Source organism: Homo sapiens, chromosome 2 (assembly GCF_000001405.40).
Source record: "Homo sapiens chromosome 2, GRCh38.p14 Primary Assembly".
Classification (NCBI taxonomy): Eukaryota; Metazoa; Chordata; class Mammalia; order Primates; family Hominidae; genus Homo; species Homo sapiens.
The window spans coordinates 65,076,044-65,096,466 of record NC_000002.12 but is presented as its reverse complement, the minus strand read 5'-3'; the positions used below and the strand labels follow the sequence as shown (position 1 = coordinate 65,096,466).

General features: G+C 43.5%; 2 protein-coding genes across 8 annotated transcripts in view, besides 1 other annotated feature; one reads left to right on the top strand and one right to left on the bottom strand.

Moving 5' to 3' along the window:
• Nucleotides 1-9,613, top strand: part of RAB1A (RAB1A, member RAS oncogene family) — a 43,253-nt gene extending 33,640 nt beyond the window's left edge. The window contains exons 4-6 of one of the 3 annotated variants that reach the window (NM_004161.5): nucleotides 5,389-5,484; nucleotides 7,397-7,528; nucleotides 7,777-9,613. In NM_004161.5, coding sequence (NP_004152.1) covers nucleotides 5,389-5,484; nucleotides 7,397-7,528; nucleotides 7,777-7,974 — 426 coding nt within the window. In that variant the 3' untranslated portion in view covers nucleotides 7,975-9,613. The remainder of the gene's footprint in view (nucleotides 1-5,388; nucleotides 5,485-7,396; nucleotides 7,529-7,776) is intronic. The other 2 variants (XM_005264468.3, NM_015543.2) reach the window with 2 other exon arrangements.
• Nucleotides 9,463-20,423, bottom strand: part of CEP68 (centrosomal protein 68) — a 30,589-nt gene continuing 19,628 nt past the window's right edge. For 3 of the 5 annotated variants that reach the window (NM_015147.3, NM_001319101.2, NM_001319100.2), the window contains exons 5-7: nucleotides 18,503-18,599; nucleotides 13,758-13,931; nucleotides 9,463-12,828 (exon numbers count right to left, since the gene is read on the bottom strand). In NM_015147.3, coding sequence (NP_055962.2) covers nucleotides 13,762-13,931; nucleotides 18,503-18,599 — 267 coding nt within the window. In that variant the 3' untranslated portion in view covers nucleotides 9,463-12,828; nucleotides 13,758-13,761. Of the gene's footprint in view, nucleotides 12,829-13,757; nucleotides 13,932-15,616; nucleotides 16,192-18,502; nucleotides 18,600-20,423 lie in introns of those variants that run through there. The other 2 variants (NR_134966.2, NM_001410838.1) reach the window with 2 other exon arrangements.
• Nucleotides 18,558-19,268: an enhancer, noted in NCBI's record as "OCT4-NANOG-H3K4me1 hESC enhancer chr2:65304333-65305043 (GRCh37/hg19 assembly coordinates)". NCBI's record gives its function as "activates a minimal SCP1, AML or CMV promoter by ChIP-STARR-seq in primed H9 embryonic stem cells {active_cell/tissue: H9 hESC(primed)}" and the evidence as "EXISTENCE:reporter gene assay evidence [ECO:0000049][PMID:30033119]".

Here is a 20,423-nt window from a genome sequence, read left to right as displayed (position 1 = left end):
ACATTCATATTTTGTTACTTTCCTGTGGCTGGAAGGGATCTTATAGGACACTGTCTTTCATCTTTGTCTGTCTTTCATCTTTAATAGGAATTTCTTTTCCATGCCTGAAGGCCTCATTTTGAACATTTTGTTTGTTTGTTTTTTTATTTTTTGAGATACAGTATTGCTCTGTCTCCCAGGCTGGAGTGCAGTGGCGCGATTTGAGCTCACTGCAACCTCCGCCTCCTGGGTTCAAGTGATTCTCCTGCCTTAGCCTCCCTAATAGCTGGGATTATATGTGTGTACCACCATGCCCGGACAATTTTTTTTTTTTTGAGATGGAGCCTTGCTTTGTCGCCCAGGCTGGAGTGCAGTGGTGCAATCTTGGCTCGCTGCAGCCTCCGCCTCCCAGGTTCAAGCAGTTCTCTTGCCTCAGCCTCCTGAGTAGCTGGGATTACAGGCGTGCGCCACCACACCCTGCTAATTTTTTGTATTTTTAGTAGAGACAGAGTTTCACCATGTTGGTTAGGCTGGTCTCGAACTCCTGACCTCGTGATCTGCCTGACTCGGCTTCCCAAAGTGCTGGGATTACAGGCATGAGCCACTGTGCCCAGCCTTCCGATAATTTTTGTATTTTTCGTAGAGATGGGATTTCGCCATGTTGGCCAGGCTGGTCTCAAACTCCTTACCTCAAGTGATCCACCCGTCTTGGCCTCCCAAAGTGCTGGGATTACAGGCGTGAGCCACCACGCCTGGGTTTTTGAACATTTTTAAGAAGCTTACCATTTTTTCGAAATAGCTAGTTCCATTTTACACATAACTTCAGCTAGGCATGTTGCCTCATGCCTGTAATCCCAGCACTTTGGGAGGCCGAGGTCAGAGAGTCACTTGAGGCCAGGAGTCAACATAGCTCCTGTGACCAGCCTGGTCAACATAGAGACTCTATCTCTACCAAAAAAAAAAAAAAAAAAGTAACCAGGTGTGGTGGTCCATGCCTGTAGTCCTAGCTCCCCAGGAGACTGAGGTGGGAGGAATGTTTGAGCCCAGGACTTCAAGGCTGCAGTGAGGCAAGATTGCACCATTGCACCCCAGCTTTGGGGACAGAGTGAGAGACCCTGTCTCAAAAACAAAATAAGGCTGGGCGCAGTGGCTGTCCGGGCGTCGTGGTTCACGCTTATAGTCCTAGCACTTTGGGAGGCCAAGGTGGGCAGATTGCCTGAGCTCAGGAGGTCTAAGACCAGCCTGAGCAACATGGCGAAACCTCATCTTTGCAAAACATACAGAAAAAAACAAAAAAAACCACAAAACCTCTAGTTGCCAGTTATTTTTTTTATTTATTCCTAGTGATTCTTCTTTTTTTCTTTTTTCTGAGACAAAAATTTCACTTTGTCTCCCTCGCTAGAGTGCAGCGGTCAGCTCACTACATGATTCTTTTAGAGACATGTTAATTCTTTATATTGAGCTGAAGCCTGTTTCTTTTACTTCTGTCTCTTCTTATTCCTCCGCCTTGTAGAGCTGCCTGAATCAGATTAATTCCTCTTTTATTGGCAAGCCTGCCCTTCAGATTGATCTTATCACAACCTTTCTTCTACCTCTGAAGTCCTCATTCTTTCCTGTAATGATATTTTCAGAACCTTGTGCAATTTGGGTTATTCTTACATTTTATAAATGCCTTTTATTAAATTTGATTTCTTAAATCAAGTATGAGATATAACACATGAGGTAAATCCTGTCTTGATTTGGAGCCTGAATGAATTTCTCTCTTGAACTTCAAGGGCTCATGGCCCTTTCTTATTATTAATCAAAGACAACCATTTGTTGTTTCAGTAGCTATATTATTTCTAGTTTGGGTCTTAAGGTTTTTGATTTGCTTGTTTTTTCTTTTTTCTTTTTTTTTTTTTTTGAGACGGAGTTTCGCTCTTGTTGCCCAGACTGGAGTGCAATGGCGTGATCTCGGCTCACTGCAACCTCCGCCTCCCAGGTTCAAGCGATTCTTCTGCCTCAGCCTCCCTAGTAGCAGGGATTACAGGCATGTGCCACCACGCCGGGCTAATTTTGTATTTTTAGTAGAGATGGGGTTTCTCCATGTTGGTCACGCTGGTCTCGAACTCCCGACCTCAGGTGATCCGCCTGCCTTGGCCTCCCAAAGTGCTGGGATTACAGTCGTGAGCCACGGCGCCTGGCCGATTTGCTTGTTTTTAATTAAAATAGGGGCCTTGGCCAGGTGCAGTTGTTCACCCCTGTAATCCCAGTACTTTGGGAGGCTGAGGCAGGCAGATCTCTTGAGTTCAGGAGTTCAAGACCAGTATGGGCAACATGGTGAAACCCTGTCTCTACCAAAAACACAAAATTCAGCCAGGCATGGTGGTGTGTCCCTGTAGTTCAAGGTACTCAGGAGGCTGAGGTGGGAGGATTGCTTGAGCCCGGAGATGGAGGTTGCGGTGAGCCAAGATTGTGCCATTTGCACTCTAGCCTGGGCAACAGAGCGAGACCTTGTTTCAAAAAAAAAAAAGAAGAGGGTCTCACTTTACACTTCTGTGACTGGTGTTTTAAAAATCTAAACACAGGCCGGGCACGGTGGCTCACGCCTGTAATCCCAGCACTTTGGGAGGCAGAGGCACGCAGATCACAAGGTCAGGAGTTCGTGACCAGCCTGGCCAGCATGGTGAAGCCCATCTCTACTAAAAATACAAAAAAATTAGCTGGGCATGGTGGCAGGTGCCTGTAATCCCAGCTACTTGGGAGGCTGAGACAGGGGAATCACTTGAACCCAGGAGGCGGAGATTGCAGTGAGCCAAGATTGCGCCATTGCACTCCAGCCTGGTGACAGAGCGAGACTCCGTCTGAAAAAAAAAAAAAAAAATCTAAACACAAGATTTTACTTTTAATCCTATCATTTCCTCTTGCTTGGCTTCAGTAATCCTTCAAGTTTTCTAGGTCTTTTCAAAATCTTGATTCTGTTGATTTATATTTTAATTATCTTTTCCTTTCAGCTTTTCCTGTTCAGGTGTGACATCTGGGTCTTTATCTGAGTTTTATTAGATTATAAAACATTCAGCAAGATAGGGCAGGTACTGAGTCCAGTTGTACACCATGGAAGGCCTCTTTCTGTGATTGTTCATTCATGAGGCTTTATGAAAATGTCTACATTACACCAGGCACTTGGAGGTTACAGAGATGAATAAAACATAGTCCATTAGGAGGCAGACAATGGGAGAGACAAACATGGGAAAAAGTTACTCTGATTATGAGGAGTAATGAGAATTACATATGAAGGAAAGTATTGTTAGTACTGTTAGGATTTAGTGTCAGGAAAGTTTTCAGAGTAGCAAGGAAACATCAGAAATTTTACTCTTTCTGCCAGGCATGGTGCATGTATTATTCTGTTCTCACACTGCCACAAGGAACTGACCAAAACTGGGTGATTTATTAAAAAAAAGGTTTAATTGACTCATAGTTCTGCATGGCTGAGGAGGCCTCAGGAAACTTACTGTGGCAGAAAGGGAAGCAGGCACGTCTTACATGGCAGGAGGCGAGAGAGTGTGAAGGAAGTGAAGGGGGAAGAGCCCCTTATGAGACCATCAGATCTTGTGAGAATTCATTCACTATCACTTGAATGGGGGAAACCGTCGTCATAATCCAATCACTTCTCCATAATCCAATCACTTCCCTCAGTGATTACAACTTGAGATGAGATTTGGGTGGGGACACAGAGCCAAACCATATCAGTGCCTGTAGTCCCAGTTACTTGGAGGCTGAGGCAGGAGGAACACTTGAGCCCAGGAGTTCAAGATCTGCCTGGGCAACATAGCAATACCTCCATTTTGGATAAAAAGGAAATTTTACTTTTTGGGTGCCATTGCTTACTTTAATCAGCTGTAACTTCTTGTTGACTTTTAGTCAAAAAACAATTTTTCCTTCTATCTTTGTGAAAGAGGTTGGTGAGCAAGGAAGAAAAGGAAACTTGCTTTATTGAGCAGCTTCTATAGTCAGGCACATTTTACAAACATTAGTTCATTTAAACCCCTTTAGCTGTTGTACAAGGTGAATGCTATCTAGCATTTACAGATGAAGAAACTGTTAGGTGACTCTCCCTAATATTAAATAACCAGGAACCTGGATTTGATGTTTTGAAGTCAGGGTAGCTTGATCCTCGAGTTCATGCTTCCTCCAAGGATACACTGAAAGACTTTGAGCCTCTTTTTTTTTTTTTCTCTTTTTTTGAGACAGGATCTGGCTCTCTTGCCCAGAGTGCAGTGGTGTGATCTCAGCTCACTGCAACCTCTGCCTCCTGGGCTCAAGCGATTCTGCCTCAGCCTCTCGAGTAGCTGGGACCACAGGCGCACGCCAGCATACTTGGCTAATTTTTGGATTTTTAGTAGAGACAGGGTTTCACCATGTTGGTCAGGCTGGTCTCGAACTCCTGAGCTCGTAATCCGCCCGTCTCGGCCCCACAAAGTGCTGGGATTACAGGCGTGAGCCACCGTACCCAGTCCCAACAGTTTTTTAAAACCCAGAACTATAATGCAATAATGTTAGCATTTGTTTTGGGAGTTTGAGCCTAAATGGTTGAAGTGCAGTAAATTGTTCTTAAAATACGTTTTATGAAAGTATTTGGAGTCATCTTCCTTACATTTTTTTCTCTAGGATGAAGACAACACCTAGCCAGGCATGGTGGCTCATGCCAGTAATGCCAGCACTTTGGGAGAATGAGTTAGGATAATTGCTTGAGTCCAGGAATTTGAGACCAGCCTGGGCAATGTAGCGAGACTCTGTCTCTACAAAAAAGAAAAAATTAGCCGGGTGTGGTGGCATGTGCCTGTAGTCCCAGCTACTCAGGAGGCTCAGGTGGAAGGATTGCTTGAGGTGGGAGGTTGAGGCTGCAGCGAGCCATGATCATGCCACTGTACTCAGCCTGGATGACAGAATGAGACGCTGCTTGAGAGGGGAAAAAAAAGACACCTGCTTGGGATGATTAAAGTTCTGTCTTGACTGGTAGTTATTTGAATTAGGTCCCTCCAGTGCTTTTAATCATGGTAGAATGTGCTAGCAAGTGAGTTTGTCTTACATGGAAGAGTTCTGTGTTCAAGGGCTTTCGGCCAGTGGCATTCCTAAACACAGTGTTAAAGGCGGTAGGGAATGTGAAAAGTATGACATAGTTCCTGCTCTCAACAGCTTGTAATTTTAGTATTATTATCGTAAGCTCAATTGTAGGTACTACTTCTTTTCTGGACTTTCAGGTGCTTATTACCGTGCAATTTAGTGGTATGAGTTGAGGACTAATGTTTCTATATCACATCCTGATAATCTCCACAGTTATGAAAACTAAACTATTTCCCCTCCCTCCTACACTTTTCCCCAACTTTATTTTAATGGAATTGTTTGGATTTCTTGATTGTTTTGTAATAGTGGGACACAGCAGGCCAGGAAAGATTTCGAACAATCACCTCCAGTTATTACAGAGGAGCCCATGGCATCATAGTTGTGTATGATGTGACAGATCAGGTAAGTTCCAAGAGGAGATTGTGTTACAGTGACCAAGTAGGAAGCCATTATTTGATTAATGTCAGATTCATTTACTACTTCATATATAAGCCATCAGTATTAATTTTATGGCAGAAAACTTTGTCCACTCTCAAATATAAATGTGAATCACTTAAAAGACATTTGTTTTCCTGTAATAAATAAAAGATTAGTAATTAGTTTTACGTTTGCTTTCAAGGGATTCTGGTTGTATTTATTGTCAACTAAATAACTTTGATCAAATAGCCAAGACTCTAACATATAGGCAAGAGTTTGTAGGGAATCGTGAGTTGCTTGGCTTATACTGTGTTCTTGGTGTTAAGTATTAACAGGAATATGGCCTGGTAATTAGAACTTGTCCATCAGAATTGCCAAAAGTGGGATTCGGGGGTCTCTGCCTATGGAGGATGTGGTTCAGAAATAAAGAATTTGAATAGGATAAGCTGTAGGAGGATCTTAGTATGAGAATGAGTATCTGAAGATTAGCTGTGAGAGAGGGCAGAGCGATGGAGGGAACAATGTGGGACAGTGTGAAGCATGTGATCCAGGGGCCATAACTTTTTTTGTTACTATTTTTTTAAATCAGAAACTTAGATTTCAGTGTCCTTTCTATCAAAGAAAAGGACAAAAGATAAACGTTCAAAATTGGAATTTATTTTTCTTTTGGCAAATGTTAAATCTCACCTCTAATGAGAAATCATAGCTAATTAGGAGATAACTTACATGTAAGCATTTAGATTCAGTGCCATTAGAAGTGCTGGGTGGGTGATATCTGCAGGAGAAAAAAATGATGCTAGTTTAAAAAATCTCTACTATTACCGTGAAATATTTTTAAATGAAAACTTTCGTCCTCTAAATATGACTGTGGAAAAGAAAATGAGTATATTTAATAACATCTTTTGACATCTCTAGTAGTAACAGTAGGTCATCTTATTCATAAACCAAAATTTTACCAAATTTCAGGCCAGGCGCAGTGGCTCACGCCTGTAATCCCAGAACTTTGGGAGGCCGAGGCGGGCGGATCACCTGAGGTCAGGAGTTAGAGACTAGCCTCGCCAACATGGCAAAATCCCATCTCTAGTAAAAATACAAAAATTAGCCAGGCGTGGGGGCCCGTGCCTGTAATCCTAGCCACTTGGGAGGCTGAGACAGGAGAATCGCTTGAACCCAGCGGGCAGAGGTTGCAGTGAGCCGAGATCGCGCCATTGCACTCCAGCCTGGATGACAGAACAAGACTTTGTCTCAAAAAAAAAAAAAAAAAATTAATCAAATTTCAAAACCAGGTTTTGTAGTACATTTAAATTGCATATTCCAAAGCAGTTGGGTTTGCCTGCGTTGCAGTTTAATATTAAGCTATACTTCCCTTTCAAATAAGGTATTTTCATCGTTAAGCCTGTAAATTCTAGTTTGTCATTGTTTAGATATTTATAGTCATTTTAATATATCTGTTTACGGCCAGCTGCAATGGCTAACACCTGTAAACTCAGCACTTTTTGAGGCCAAGGTGGGCCGATTGAGCTCAGGAGTTCGAGACCAGCCTGGGCAACATAGTGAAACTCCATCTATACAAAAAATCCAAAAAAAAAAAGACAGGTGTGGTGGCATGTGCCTGTAGTCCCAGCTATCCCGGAGGCGGAGGCGGGAGGATGGCTTGAGCTTGGGAGGTCGAGGGTGCAGTGAGCTGTGATTGTGCCACTGCACTCCGGCCTAGGTGACAGAGCAAGACCCTGTCTCAAAAAAAAAAATCTCTTCACTCCTTAGCAGTGGTTATTTTGTAGCTAGAGTTGTCTCACTAGCTCTTTGTTATTTGTCTGTTAGGTCAGGAACGATGTTTCTGTTTATTCCAGAACTATATTATCGAACTATATTATCAGTCTTTCAAATGTCTTTTTAGGAGTCCTTCAATAATGTTAAACAGTGGCTGCAGGAAATAGATCGTTATGCCAGTGAAAATGTCAACAAATTGTTGGTAGGGAACAAATGTGATCTGACCACAAAGAAAGTAGTAGACTACACAACAGCGAAGGTATGTTTAAAGTTTAATTTTCATACTGAATTTGAAGGTGTTGAATTATGTATGGGTTCTGCAGTAACAGTAAGGCCACAGCCTTTTAAAAATATGTGCACTAGAATACTGTGACAGTGACAATTTGTGTAGCATCTGTTTGGATCCAATGAACTTAGTTCCTCACGCTCCATTATGGATGGTAGAAATGCACTAAGAATTAGTGAAAAAGATTTTTCAGTGTTAATTGTGCCTCATTATTCTCTTAGGAATTTGCTGATTCCCTTGGAATTCCGTTTTTGGAAACCAGTGCTAAGAATGCAACGAATGTAGAACAGTCTTTCATGACGATGGCAGCTGAGATTAAAAAGCGAATGGGTCCCGGAGCAACAGCTGGTGGTGCTGAGAAGTCCAATGTTAAAATTCAGAGCACTCCAGTCAAGCAGTCAGGTGGAGGTTGCTGCTAAAATTTGCCTCCATCCTTTTCTCACAGCAATGAATTTGCAATCTGAACCCAAGTGAAAAAACAAAATTGCCTGAATTGTACTGTATGTAGCTGCACTACAACAGATTCTTACCGTCTCCACAAAGGTCAGAGATTGTAAATGGTCAATACTGACTTTTTTTTTATTCCCTTGACTCAAGACAGCTAACTTCATTTTCAGAACTGTTTTAAACCTTTGTGTGCTGGTTTATAAAATAATGTGTGTAATCCTTGTTGCTTTCCTGATACCAGACTGTTTCCCGTGGTTGGTTAGAATATATTTTGTTTTGATGTTTATATTGGCATGTTTAGATGTCAGGTTTAGTCTTCTGAAGATGAAGTTCAGCCATTTTGTATCAAACAGCACAAGCAGTGTCTGTCACTTTCCATGCATAAAGTTTAGTGAGATGTTATATGTAAGATCTGATTTGCTAGTTCTTCCTTGTAGAGTTATAAATGGAAAGATTACACTATCTGATTAATAGTTTCTTCATACTCTGCATATAATTTGTGGCTGCAGAATATTGTAATTTGTTGCACACTATGTAACAAAACAACTGAAGATATGTTTAATAAATATTGTACTTATTGGAAGTAATATCAAACTGTATGGTGATAAGTATTGTTTTGATTCTTATGGTTAAAGGGAAATAGAGCCTTGCATTATATTCAACACAGCCATTTGTGTGTGCACAATGCAAACTAAGGTATTCTAGACCTATCTTAGAGCAGCATCCAGTATTTGCTTTCTAGATAATATGCCCAATAACATGACCTAGAGGGGCTTCTGTGCTGTGTAGGGATTTAACCAACTTCAGTGGTTCAGGGAGCTCAAACTATATGTAAAACAAGTTTAGAATGTATGCTATCTAGCCCGTTATCTCTGATCCTTCTCTAAAACCATTTGAAATAGCTTCATTGATCAACATTTCATAAATGCATCTGTGGTAGAGGTAGAAAGCAGCACCTTTCCTAATTGGCAAATGATCAGACTAATGTGTGCTAATGTTTTTCTTCCATGCTTTCAGTCAGATTCAACTATTTTATCCTCCACAGTTGCTTAACTTGGTGTTGGAGGAGGGTTTAAGCATTAAGATAGGAAGCAGGAAATTTGATTGCTCTAAATTTAGAAATTATATCCCTAAAAATTAAAACATGAATACTGGGTGGTAATGATAATTGAGGCAAATGTATTTATTTTGGTGACATTTTGCATATATGAAGATTTTCTGAAATAGGACCTTCAAGATCCTAGGGGGTTTTGTTTGGTTTTTAATTGTGAGGAATAAAAAATCTTCTGCCCACACTGGCATTTTAAGGTGACTGAGGTCAAACGTTGTTTCCTTAGGTTGAAATAGCAGCCAAAACATTCTTCACGCAGGGGCTTGGGATATGGCTGCTGGCAACACATTTTGTTGTGGGCTCCTTAATTTAATGATAAAATTTAAGCTAAACACAAGCCAAAAATGAATAGGTTTTTTTAATTTTTATTTTTCACTAAACAGGCAATTGAAATACATGGTACAAAAATAAGTGGTAAGATAATTGTAAAATGAAATGGACAGAATATTCAATTTTCCATCTATGAAAATTTCACAATAAAAATCATAGTTTACTTTGTATTATAGGCGTGCTTGGTGGATCTATTCATCCTCACATAAGGCAACTGACAAATTCCTGAAGTTACCAATAGTTATTTTGGTGAAGATCTTTAATGCTTCAGAAGTTTTGTTTTTGCCTTAATACAGTATAAAGGGGGAAAGAGTTCAGAAACTATTTTCTAAAGTAGCTAAATGACACAAAACAAATGTCAAGATACTGTGATGCCATGCCGTGCACTTCATTTTTACACAGTAAAAGTTGTTTAAATTGTCAGCTTATTCTTGGTGAGTTAGCGGAAACATTACATGAACTTAAGATGAGCATATTTACAGACTTAAGTTTGGAAAATTCCAGCGTTCTTTTCCCCATGGCAGTAAAGATTGGGATTTACAACAAATTTCAGCATGCCTTAAGATTTGCTTCTATGTATACGCCAATAAATGTGGTTCTGGAAAAAATATATACCCCTTTATACCCCCATTTTCAAGTACAAACGGTTCAAAGCTACTACAGGTTTTAATAATCTGTTCACTTAGTAAAGGGAATTACCACTTGTTCTAAATATAAGGTGCTGCCATAAATTAGTTTACATAGTGAAGAAGAGTGTTCTTAAATCTAAGCAGCTGCACACTCTGTGAAATCCTTTCAGAATGATAGTCATTGTGGTCTGAGCAGTAATTTCCTATTCTTCGACCTTGGATTGAATTTCCCTTAGCCTACATCTTGCCTTTCCAGCATATCTTACCTCAAACCTTCTTTGTGTTCCATTCCCACCTAAGCTTCAAAATAGCCGTGTTGACGTCGTCTTCCATTTGCTGAGCTTACCTATGGATCTCCAAGAACCCAGATCTTGAAACTGCTGATCCAGCTTTGAGTATCATCACTTCCCTGTGGATTTAACTTCCATTAATTTTAAGGGACTACTAAGTTATTCCAGTGTGGCATCACAGTGCAGTTAGCAAGCTCAGCTACTTGACTCTAATTTGGCCATGTTTGCTCATAGAAATGCTGCTGGCAGCATCTTACTAGGCTGAAACAATTTCAGCTTGATTTTTTTTTTTTGAGACAAGAGTCTCACTCTGTTGCCCAGGCTGGAGTGCAGTGGTGCCATCTCAGCTCACTGCAAGCTCCGCCTCCCGGGTTCATGCCATTCTCATGCCTCAGCCTCCCAAGTAGCTGGGACTACAGGCGCCCATCACCACGCCTGGCTAATTTCTTTTTGTATTTTTAGTAGAGATGGGGTTTCACCGTGTTAGCCAGGATGGTCTCGATCTCCTGACCTTGTGATCCACCCGCCTCGGCCTCCCAAAGTGCTGGGATTACAGGCATGAGCCACCGTGCCCAGCCTTCAGCTTGAGTTTTAAGGTAAGTCTTAAACTTAAAGCACGGCGGTATAATTAACAGTTGTGTTGATACTCTTCAGTAGCATTCACAGCCAGGTCCAGGGAGTTAGCACCCTTTAGTCTCACCTTATTCAGAGGATGAACAAAAATATCTTAGATCATCTCTAGGTAAGGTAGTACTTTCTTGGGAAACAGGGTATTGTGTAACATTCTGTGCAAATTCCTGTCAGTTGAAGCTGATTATTAGTTGAATGGGAATAGAATGCCACATTCTGCATTCAATTAGTATAATATTGGCCAATTTGTTTCTATAGGGTTTTCATCTCCAACTTTTATGCTAATTAATACACTTCTATGCCTGTCAAATATTAGTAAATAAATGGGTTTAATTTCCTAAGGGCTATTCAGTAACATACTCAGTGGAAGGACATGTTCCTACTTATAAATGTACATCTAAGAGAAGGTAAAATATATCAATTTAAGAAGAGGCCGTCAGACATCTCTACCTTTTTAACCAACTCTAGGTTTTCAAGAATGTTTTACATACAGGTTTATAATTGACAATTATTTGCTAGAGTGGTTTTTCCCTTTTAAAGTCTCAGTGTGTATGGAACTAAGATGATTAATATGGCAAACTCATAAGCCATTTTAATTTTGATCATGCCCTTAAGCATTATGATAAAGCATACCACAGCAGCATCAGGCACTTGAAATACTGCATTTTATGTGTAGCTACTGTTGAAGAGCTAATCTTTAAAGAATTTAATGGCTATTTTCCAGTGACTATAAAGTCTCAGAAATTCTGAAGCAGAAAAGTCACATTAATAATAGGACTTTAGTTTCCATTGTTACTGTGCTTTCCTCCTTCCAGGTTCATTCATGGCCCAACAGAACTTTAAAAGTGCTTTTCTGTAGAATCTGCAGTTACCAGCAATAACTGATCATCTTGCTGCAAAAAGCTATAGAATTGATGCTTTGAATGGTTGATCCATAGTTTTTTTTTTTTTTAATCAAAGTACTTATGTGTCAATGCCAAAGCAACGAAGAATTCCCCTTTTTCCTTCACTATTGACAGCTTCAGTTTCTGTACTTACTGTGTCATCCTATCCGTTCCCTTCCCTGAGCCTGGACTGCTCTTCCAAGGGAGACTAGGAGTGAAGGGAGGAGTCCTCCCAAAGTTACCCTTTAAGCTTGATAATTAGCTCCATAGCCATGCTAAAGCATGACTGTAGATCCCCAAGTCCCTGACACATTTTCTTCTAAGAAACTGGTTAGCCAAGAAAGTAAAGACGTAAGCCCTGAAGATGGCAAAAGGTGTCATAATCTCCCAAAGTCATCTGTATAGATGCTTCATTTAACCCTTTTTCTTTTGCAGACAAAGGGTTAAAAATCTCTTCTTTCTACCTATATCTTTAAAGAGGGATTGACAAGCCCAAATTTCCTTTTATGAAAAGACCCAAGGTTTCTGGCCAACAATTCACTTTTTTCAGTCTCTTAGGTCCTCTTGCATGCCTGAGAATATTGAGTATTCGGAATCTCCTACCAGCCCTTGGTAAATGACCCTACCAGGTGGAATAGTTTGAGCTTTATCTGCTCTTTTTTAATGGGATAGAGGGGAAGGCAACACGTCTTATTTTATCAAAAATTGCAAAGCTACACGCTCTTTGTGGAGAAGCACCAAAAGGAAAACCTTAGTTTGGAAGGATTCATTGTAAATAAAAATAGTAACTCAGCCCTCCATTCAGGGAGGAGAAAGGCATTTTAAAGCTAGTATATTGAAGGTTTCCCCCTTGACTTCAGTGTTGAATGGCTCTTGCAAGGACTTCTTGAAGGTTTTTTTTCTCACTAGCCAGTGTTTGGCCGACAGGTTGCACCTCTGCCTGAGAAGATGCCTGAAAGAGAAAAGGCAGCATTTGTTACAGGCATAATGTTGTAGAGGAAGAAACGACAACAGCAGTCCCCTGCATTCATTTTAGAACCAAGATGACGTCTCACAGTTGCTCTGATAAAAACACAGGGACTCCCTGCTCTTAGCATACCTATAGTGCTCACCTAGAAAATCTATGAGTTAAGCACTACAAACATTTTGTTGTAGGAGCGACGTACGACAGTCCAATTGCAGAATTATGAAAAGCATTGGCAGTAGCAACTCTGTGGTGGACACACCCACCTTTGCTCTCCTAGCTCCTTTTCTGTCATTCTGTTTGACTTTCTCAAGGGAGCAAAAGAAAGTTGTACTACCAGTTAAGTCTCCAAGGTGTCTTTAACCCCTCCATCCCCCTAGCCTTTTTGGAAGGGAGTGGTGTGGGAGATATGTGGAGACCCTTTGTGCAGGGCAGGGGTGGTGGTGCAAAGTTATCAGTAACTCTGGGTTTCTCTAAGCACTTGGTGCTGTCAGAGATGCTTGGAGATGGAGTACCAAATGAGCTGGGGAGAAGATCCTGCAGAACAGGGGTGGCCAGGTCATGGCCCCATACTGGAAAAGTGTACCTGTGCAGAAATAAAGTAGGTGTACAGATAAGTTGTGCTGCTCTTGTCTTGGGATGGCAGGGTTGGTGGTGAAGAAAGTGCCATAGAAATGGCAGCACAGAGGCACCCTCATCCTCAGCAGGCAGCAGGGGTGAACAGTAATGGAAAGCACCGCAGTGAGCCTTCATCATCATAGGAAGACCAGCAACTCCTTTTTTAGTACCATTGGCTGTCTTCTTCCAGTATCTCATTTGTTTAAATAATAGTTCTTGGCTCAACAAGCTTCTAAGTAGTGGCCAACTGTTACAGCAGGGTTGGTGGGCAAATTTTCTTTTTGAGTTCCTCCACTTACCAGGTTAAACCCCTTCACATGGGTGCTCCATTGCCGCCATGGGCTTTTTGTCAGGGATAAGGGTGCAGCCAGCCAGCATGTCCAGAGAGGCCAAGATAGAGTCATACAGGCGATCTGCGTGGCTCTCCAGCTCACCAGACTGCTTTGCGATCCTCCCAAGGACATCCTCTAAAACTAACAATGAGGTTCAAAGAAATTAAACCAGAAATAAAACCCATGCAAGTGTTGTCCAGTAAGCATTTTCAAAAGAACATACAAGGGTATAGTATTTTACACAAAGTAGGACCTGGCAGTAGTTTCTGAATGTCTGCCCTTTTTTAACAGTGATTCTCCAGGGACTTCTGTTGCACTGGAGAACCTATGTTGTTAACTTCTGATTAAAGCTAAGAAAAGAACTCACTGACTCCACTTTGAAATTACGTAATTCACAGAAGGGCACAGAGATATTATGGTTTTCTGATGGCTGGTATTACCTGACTTTAGAGGTAAGACAGGTATCTCTGTAAGGGCACATCCAGATCCTCTTGGGCATAAGGCTTAAATAAAACGACATGCCAAGGTTCAGATGCTTACCCCTGCTACCAGGTCTATCAGTTTCTATTGGCTGGGAAGAATGTTATTTCACATGGGTGGTCTGTAATAGATTTGGGAGTGCTTGAGACCCTTTGTTTTGTGGGCCTCAGTGAACAGACTGAAAAAGAAAATGACCTGGCCAGGCGCAGTGGCTCACGCCTGTAATCCCAACAACACTTTGGGAGGCCAAGGCGGATGGATTGCCTGAGGTCAGGAGTTGGAGACCAGCCTGACCAACATGGAGAAACCCCGTCTCTACTAAAAATATAAAAAAATTAGCCGGGTGTGGTGGCGCATGCCTGTAATCCCAGCTACACGGGAGGCTGAGGCAGAATGGCTTGAACCCGGGAGGCAGAGGTTGTGGTGAGCCAAGACTGTGCCATCGCACTCCAGCCTGGGCAACAAGAGTGCAACTCTGTCTCAAAAACAAAACAAAACAAAAAAATGACCCGAAAGCAGTCTAAGGGAAGATTCACTCCCGCAGTGTCAGAATTGTTGTTCATGTGAGGAAGGGATGGGCTAGGGTCAGAGTGCATCTCACACAGCAGGCTTTTTTCTTTCTTTTTTCAAAAATTTATTTTTGTTAAGCACAAAGGCTGTCTTAGTTTCCTGCACCTTTATCAGCTGTGCTTATACTCTCCCTAGTTTCCTGCCACAGCTGTAACATCTGTCAGTAGAGGAAGGGAAAGAGGAAGCTTATCTGCAGACAATGCTGACTGGATGAGTAGAAGGAGAAGGAACACAGGCTGGCTGTATTGAGATCTCCTAGGGAAGCCACATCAGTGCGGTGTCATCAGGGCAAAGTGCTGTCCACAAAGAGAGTTGGCAGAGTGTGGCAGAGGATTGCAGTCAGGCGCACGGTAAAGCTTGGCTGTAAGGGTGGCTGGGCTGGGTTCTACCCTCCAGTTTCTTTTTTTTTTTTTTTGAGATGGAGTCTCACTCTGTCACCCAGGCTGGAGTGCAGCGGCACAAATCTCGGCTCACTAAAACCTCCGCCTCCCAGGTTCAAGCGATTCTCCTGCCTCATCCTCCCCAGTAGTTGGAATTACTGGCGCCCACCACCACGCCCGGCTAATATTTGTATTTTTAGTAGAGACAGGGTTTCGTCATGCTGGCCAGGCTGGTCTCGAACTCCTGACCTCAGGTGATCCACCCGCCTTGGCCTCCCAAAGTGCTGGGATTACAGGCATGAGCCACCGCAGCTGGCTAACCCCTCTGGTTTCATTAGACCTTTGCCCAGTCTTCTTGTGCGATGTCACAGAAACATTGGTTCAGGGACAACTTTATGTTTTTGAACTTTTATTTATCTATTTATTTTGAGACGGAGTCTTACTCTTGTTGCCCAGGCTGGAGTACAGTGGCGTGATCTCGGCTCACTGCAACCTCTGCCTCCCGGGTTCAAGCGACTCTCCTGCCCCAGCCTCCTGAGTAGCTGGGATTACAGGCGCCCGCCACCATGCCCAGCTAATTTTTTTACTTTTAGTAGAGATGGGGTTTCGCCATGTTGGCCAGGCTGGTCTTGAACTCCTGCCCTCAGGTGATCTGCCCGCTTGGCCTCCCAAAGTGTTGAGATTACAGGCGTGAGCCACTGCGCACGGACGCTTTTGAACTTTTATTTAGACTGTCAGAATGTTTGGTTGGGGCCAAATAAAAGAAGTTGGGAAGGACTGGAACAAAACATGTTTGTAGGCTGGCTCTATGGACTTTTGACAGCATGCTCCTGGCGGAAGAAAAGTTAAGTTTTGCACCCGCTGGAGACAGACACTGACGTCTCAAGGGGGAAACAGCCACATTCCTGATTATTTCAAGCAGATGGATGGGGAAGGGCTGTGTGTCAATCTGAAAGAGCCTGGATACATATCTGAAAACCAAAGAAAACCCCAAAGCCAGTAAAAAACCTCTTGAGAGAGCAAAGTGGGACTAAGCACAGAAAAGTATTATTAAATTGATTTTAAAATGAAGGTCAAAAAACCTGAAGCTTTTAAGAGGCCTTTTTTTTTTTTGAGAAGGAATTTCGCTCTTGTTGCCCAGGCTGGAGTGCAATGGCGCAATCTCAGCTCGCTGCAACTTCCACCTCCTGGGTTCAAGCGATTCACCTGCCTCAGCCTCCAGAGTGGCTGGGATTACAGGTGCTCCCCACCACGCCCAGCTAATTTTGTATTTTTAGTAGAGACGGGGTTTCTCCATGTTGGTCAGGCTGGTCTCAAACTCCCGATCTCAGGTGATCTGCCCACCTTGGCCTCCCAAAGTGCTGGGATTACAGGCGTGAACCACCGTGTCCGGACTAGAGGCCTACTTTTACACATGGCCTCTGTGAAGAGAGGAGCCGCTCAGGCCTCTGCACCTCCAGACACTGGGAAGCTGCGGAAAGCCAGTGCCCAGGGGCTCTGCCAGGCTGCCACTTCTCCTGTGGCCTGTGGCAAATCCACAACTATCCATCTCACAGGGCTGTGATTAAATGGAGAACACTGATGTGCCAACTGCTTCAGTAAAATGCTGGTGTAAATTACATGCAGCAAAGGAGCTTGGCACATGGAATTTCTGCCCCAATAAAAAATCTAAGAACCCTAGTGAAAATGCCAGAAGAGCCAAAACAAAGGCCTTAAAAGGGCAGGGGATTGCAAAGAGCTCATATAATTCACACTAGAGAATCACTTACCTGCTGAAAACTATTCAGTGGTCCCTGTCCACTGATGCCTCTCAACCCTAGAGATTTTTCTTCCCAGGGTACACTTAGCAATGTGTAGAAACATTTTGGGTTGTCACAACTGTGGGGGAAGCAGGGATTTACTGGGGCCAGGGGTGCTGCTAAACATCCTGCAATGCATAGGACAATTCCCCACAAAATCATGCGGCCAATATGGCAAAAGCGCCAAGGCTGAGAAATCCTGCTGTACACCCTTCACGGTATGCACCTGCCCACCATGCTGGTCAGGAAAGTGCCTCCTCATTGCCTCTCAAGCCCGTGGGACCTGCCCAGCTTTGCTTCGGCGGTTGTATTCCAGTATAAATCCCATCTCACTCAAAAATGTAAAATGAGGCATAATATAGGCAGGCTGTCAGCACTTGATTTACAGTCTTGCAGGAAATTAGGGGCTGCCATCAGTTCAAGGCTTTACCCTACCATTCTCTTAGCTCATCCTCCCTATCATATCCTCATCCCCCATGCCCTCGTCCTGTAAAGACAATGAAAACTGTAAATCCTTGGCACCCAGCATGCTTAGATACATGCCTGAGGTCTGTGATTTTCACTTTCCTAAATGGGGAACCCATCCTACAAAATGGGCTCAAGTGGCTGGGTGCAGTGGCTCACGCCTGTAATCCCAGCACTCTGGGAGGCTGAGGCAGGCGAATCACCTGAGATAGGGAGTTCAAGACAGGCCTGACCAACATGGAGAAACCTCATCTGTACTAAAAACACAAAAAAAATAGCCGGGCATGGTGGCGCATGCCTGTAATCCCAGCTACTCAGGAGGCTGAGGCAGAAGAATCACTTGAACCTGGGAGGCAGGTGAACTTGCGGTGAGCCAAGATGGCACCACTGCACTCCAGCCTTGGCAACAAGAGCGAAACTCCATCTCAAAAGCAAAACAAAACAAAAAGGGGCTTGAGCTTGGTTTGCACACTACTGCCACCCTGTCCCCTCTCATCAGTTCTTCATTCAATCTGTTCCCTGAGGACAGACTGACTGTCCTCAGATACTTTTGAGCAATACAATCCTTTTCTGAAACAACTATTTCCCCAAAGCAGGACACAAGGCAGATAATCAGAGAGGAATTCAACCTGGGCTAGGTAAGGTGGGGAACCAAAGGGATACCCACTAAATACCCTAGCCACAAACTAAGGATGGTGGATTAATACTAGGATTCCTACCCAGACTACCACCAGAAAAATACAAAAGCAGAAGCAAAAGACAGCGTCATTCTTGCAGGCTCAATGCCTAATTTGTAATGGGCTTGGTTTTATAACCATGACTGCCTCTAAGCAGGTGTGTAGGGGCAGTGATGGGCAGCGACGCGTGGAGCTGGCAGATGGGGCATGGGGCATCTCGGGCAGTGGGTGTGGGCAGGGGCTCTTGTGGTACCAGCTCCTTACCAGGGATAGTGCGGTCCCTGGGCCTGCTGCTGACAGGGATTAAGCTCTGGCTAAATCCAAAACCTTAAGCATCTCACCTGGGGTGTTCTCCAACAGGCACTGAAGAAGAATCTCCCCCTTCTGTAAGACACTCTCCGTCAGAGACTGATGTTCATCTATATCTTTCTTAAATTGCTTAAGGCGTATCAGAAAAAGAAAAGGCAGAAGCTTCGTTACTATTGTTTTGTAAACGTTATTTGAAAAGCACAGCATGTAGGGAAGCCTTATTCCCCTCTAATGTGTAAGATTCACCCCATCAGGTCTGCAGAATTCCCCAAGTAAACAGTGCAACAGTTTAACTTCAGCTTCTTTGAACCCAAGGTAAATAGAGTCAGTAGTTTTTCCTGTTTAGTTTGACATCAGAAGCATCTTCCCTGACAGAGGCTGGCTCACAAACAGCTTGGAGTTAGGGTCTCCTTCTAGCGCCCTCACCTCATGGGGTTCTCTTTTAATTCAGGGCTATGGGAGTCTCAGAATTTATTCCATTCTAATGGACCACAGGAGATCTGCCATTAAACTGACCGCAGGGAGCCACTGTCTCTACCTCTGCTCCTCCCTCCATGTCTTTGCTCTGTGCAGACCACAGGGGTAACTACCTCAACATCTGGGAAGCTGTGAGTTTCCCAAGCAACTCATTTGCTTTCCCCTCTTGGCTACCGAGCTGGTGTTCTTGATGTTTGTTTAGCAGTTAAGAAGTGTAAAGTCAGCCAGGCGCGGTGGCTCACACCTGTAATCCCAGCACTCTGGGAGGCCAAGGTGGGCGGATCACCTGAGGTCAGGAGTTTGAGACCAGCCTGACCAACATGGAGAAACCCCGTCTCTACTAAAAATACAAAAAAATTAGCCGGGTGTGGTGGTGCATGCCTGTAATCCCAGCTACTCGGGAGGGTGAGGCAGGAGAATCGCTTGAACCTGGGAGGCAGGGGTTGCAGTGAGCCGAGATCACACCATTGCACTCCAGCCTGGGCAGTAAGAGAGGCTCCGTCTCAAAAAAAAAAAAAAAAAAAGGTAAAGTCAAATCCATGACCACCCTTAGTGCAAGGTGTAGAACTTGGTGACTGATTTTTATAAATTTTTAAATTTTTAACAGAAATAGAGACAGGGTCTCACTATTTTGCCCAGGCTGGTCTCAAACCCCTGAACTCAAGTGATCCACCTGCCTCAGGCTCCCAAAGTACTGGGATTACAGGTATGAGCCACCGTGCCCAGCCAGAACTTGGTGTTTTACCATTTTGAAGTGATAGTTTTACCCTTGGATTTACTATTTTCCTGTCTTCAGTTTTCCTTTACCCTGATACCTATACTTATTATTTTATTCTCTAGTACTGTAGTGTGGTTTATGTGCTGCTGCAACCCCGTGTTAAGACAAAATACAAGTATATAAGAAAATGAGTCACAGTTAAAATATGTGAACACAGACACGCTCGCTTATACTAGGTCTTAATCCAAGCAGGAGTCAAGATAGCACACACATACGCATGAGCCATGCACAATTCTGTGCGGGCAAGGGGCTAGCAGTACAGTCCCACTTTGTGACAGCTGTATGGGTGACACAAGAGGCCTATGCCTCACTGACCTGCACGAGTGACTCCCAGCTCAAATCTCAGCTCTACCTACAAAGCAAGCTGGTTGTTTCCGTCTAGCCTAGAAGCTGAGGTACAGAAGGCTGGCAGGAGGGATAAGACGGAGGGATGGAATTATTCTGTTTGCACCTGCTCTGACAAGCCAGGAAAGGCCACTAAGCTAGGTCTACCAGGGCAGCTTCCTCTCTCTGTAGTGGTACTGGTCCTGGGCCCTGCACAGCTGCGTGCATGCACGTGGAGTCTGCATACAGGACCCTTGGAGTCAGCCTTTCTCTCCTTCCTCAAGCTCACTCCACCCTAGTGGGAATGCTGTTTCCTGCAGTGTGGAGAGGAACTCATTGTGGAGTTCCTCAAAGTGAGGAACTCAAAGCAACCT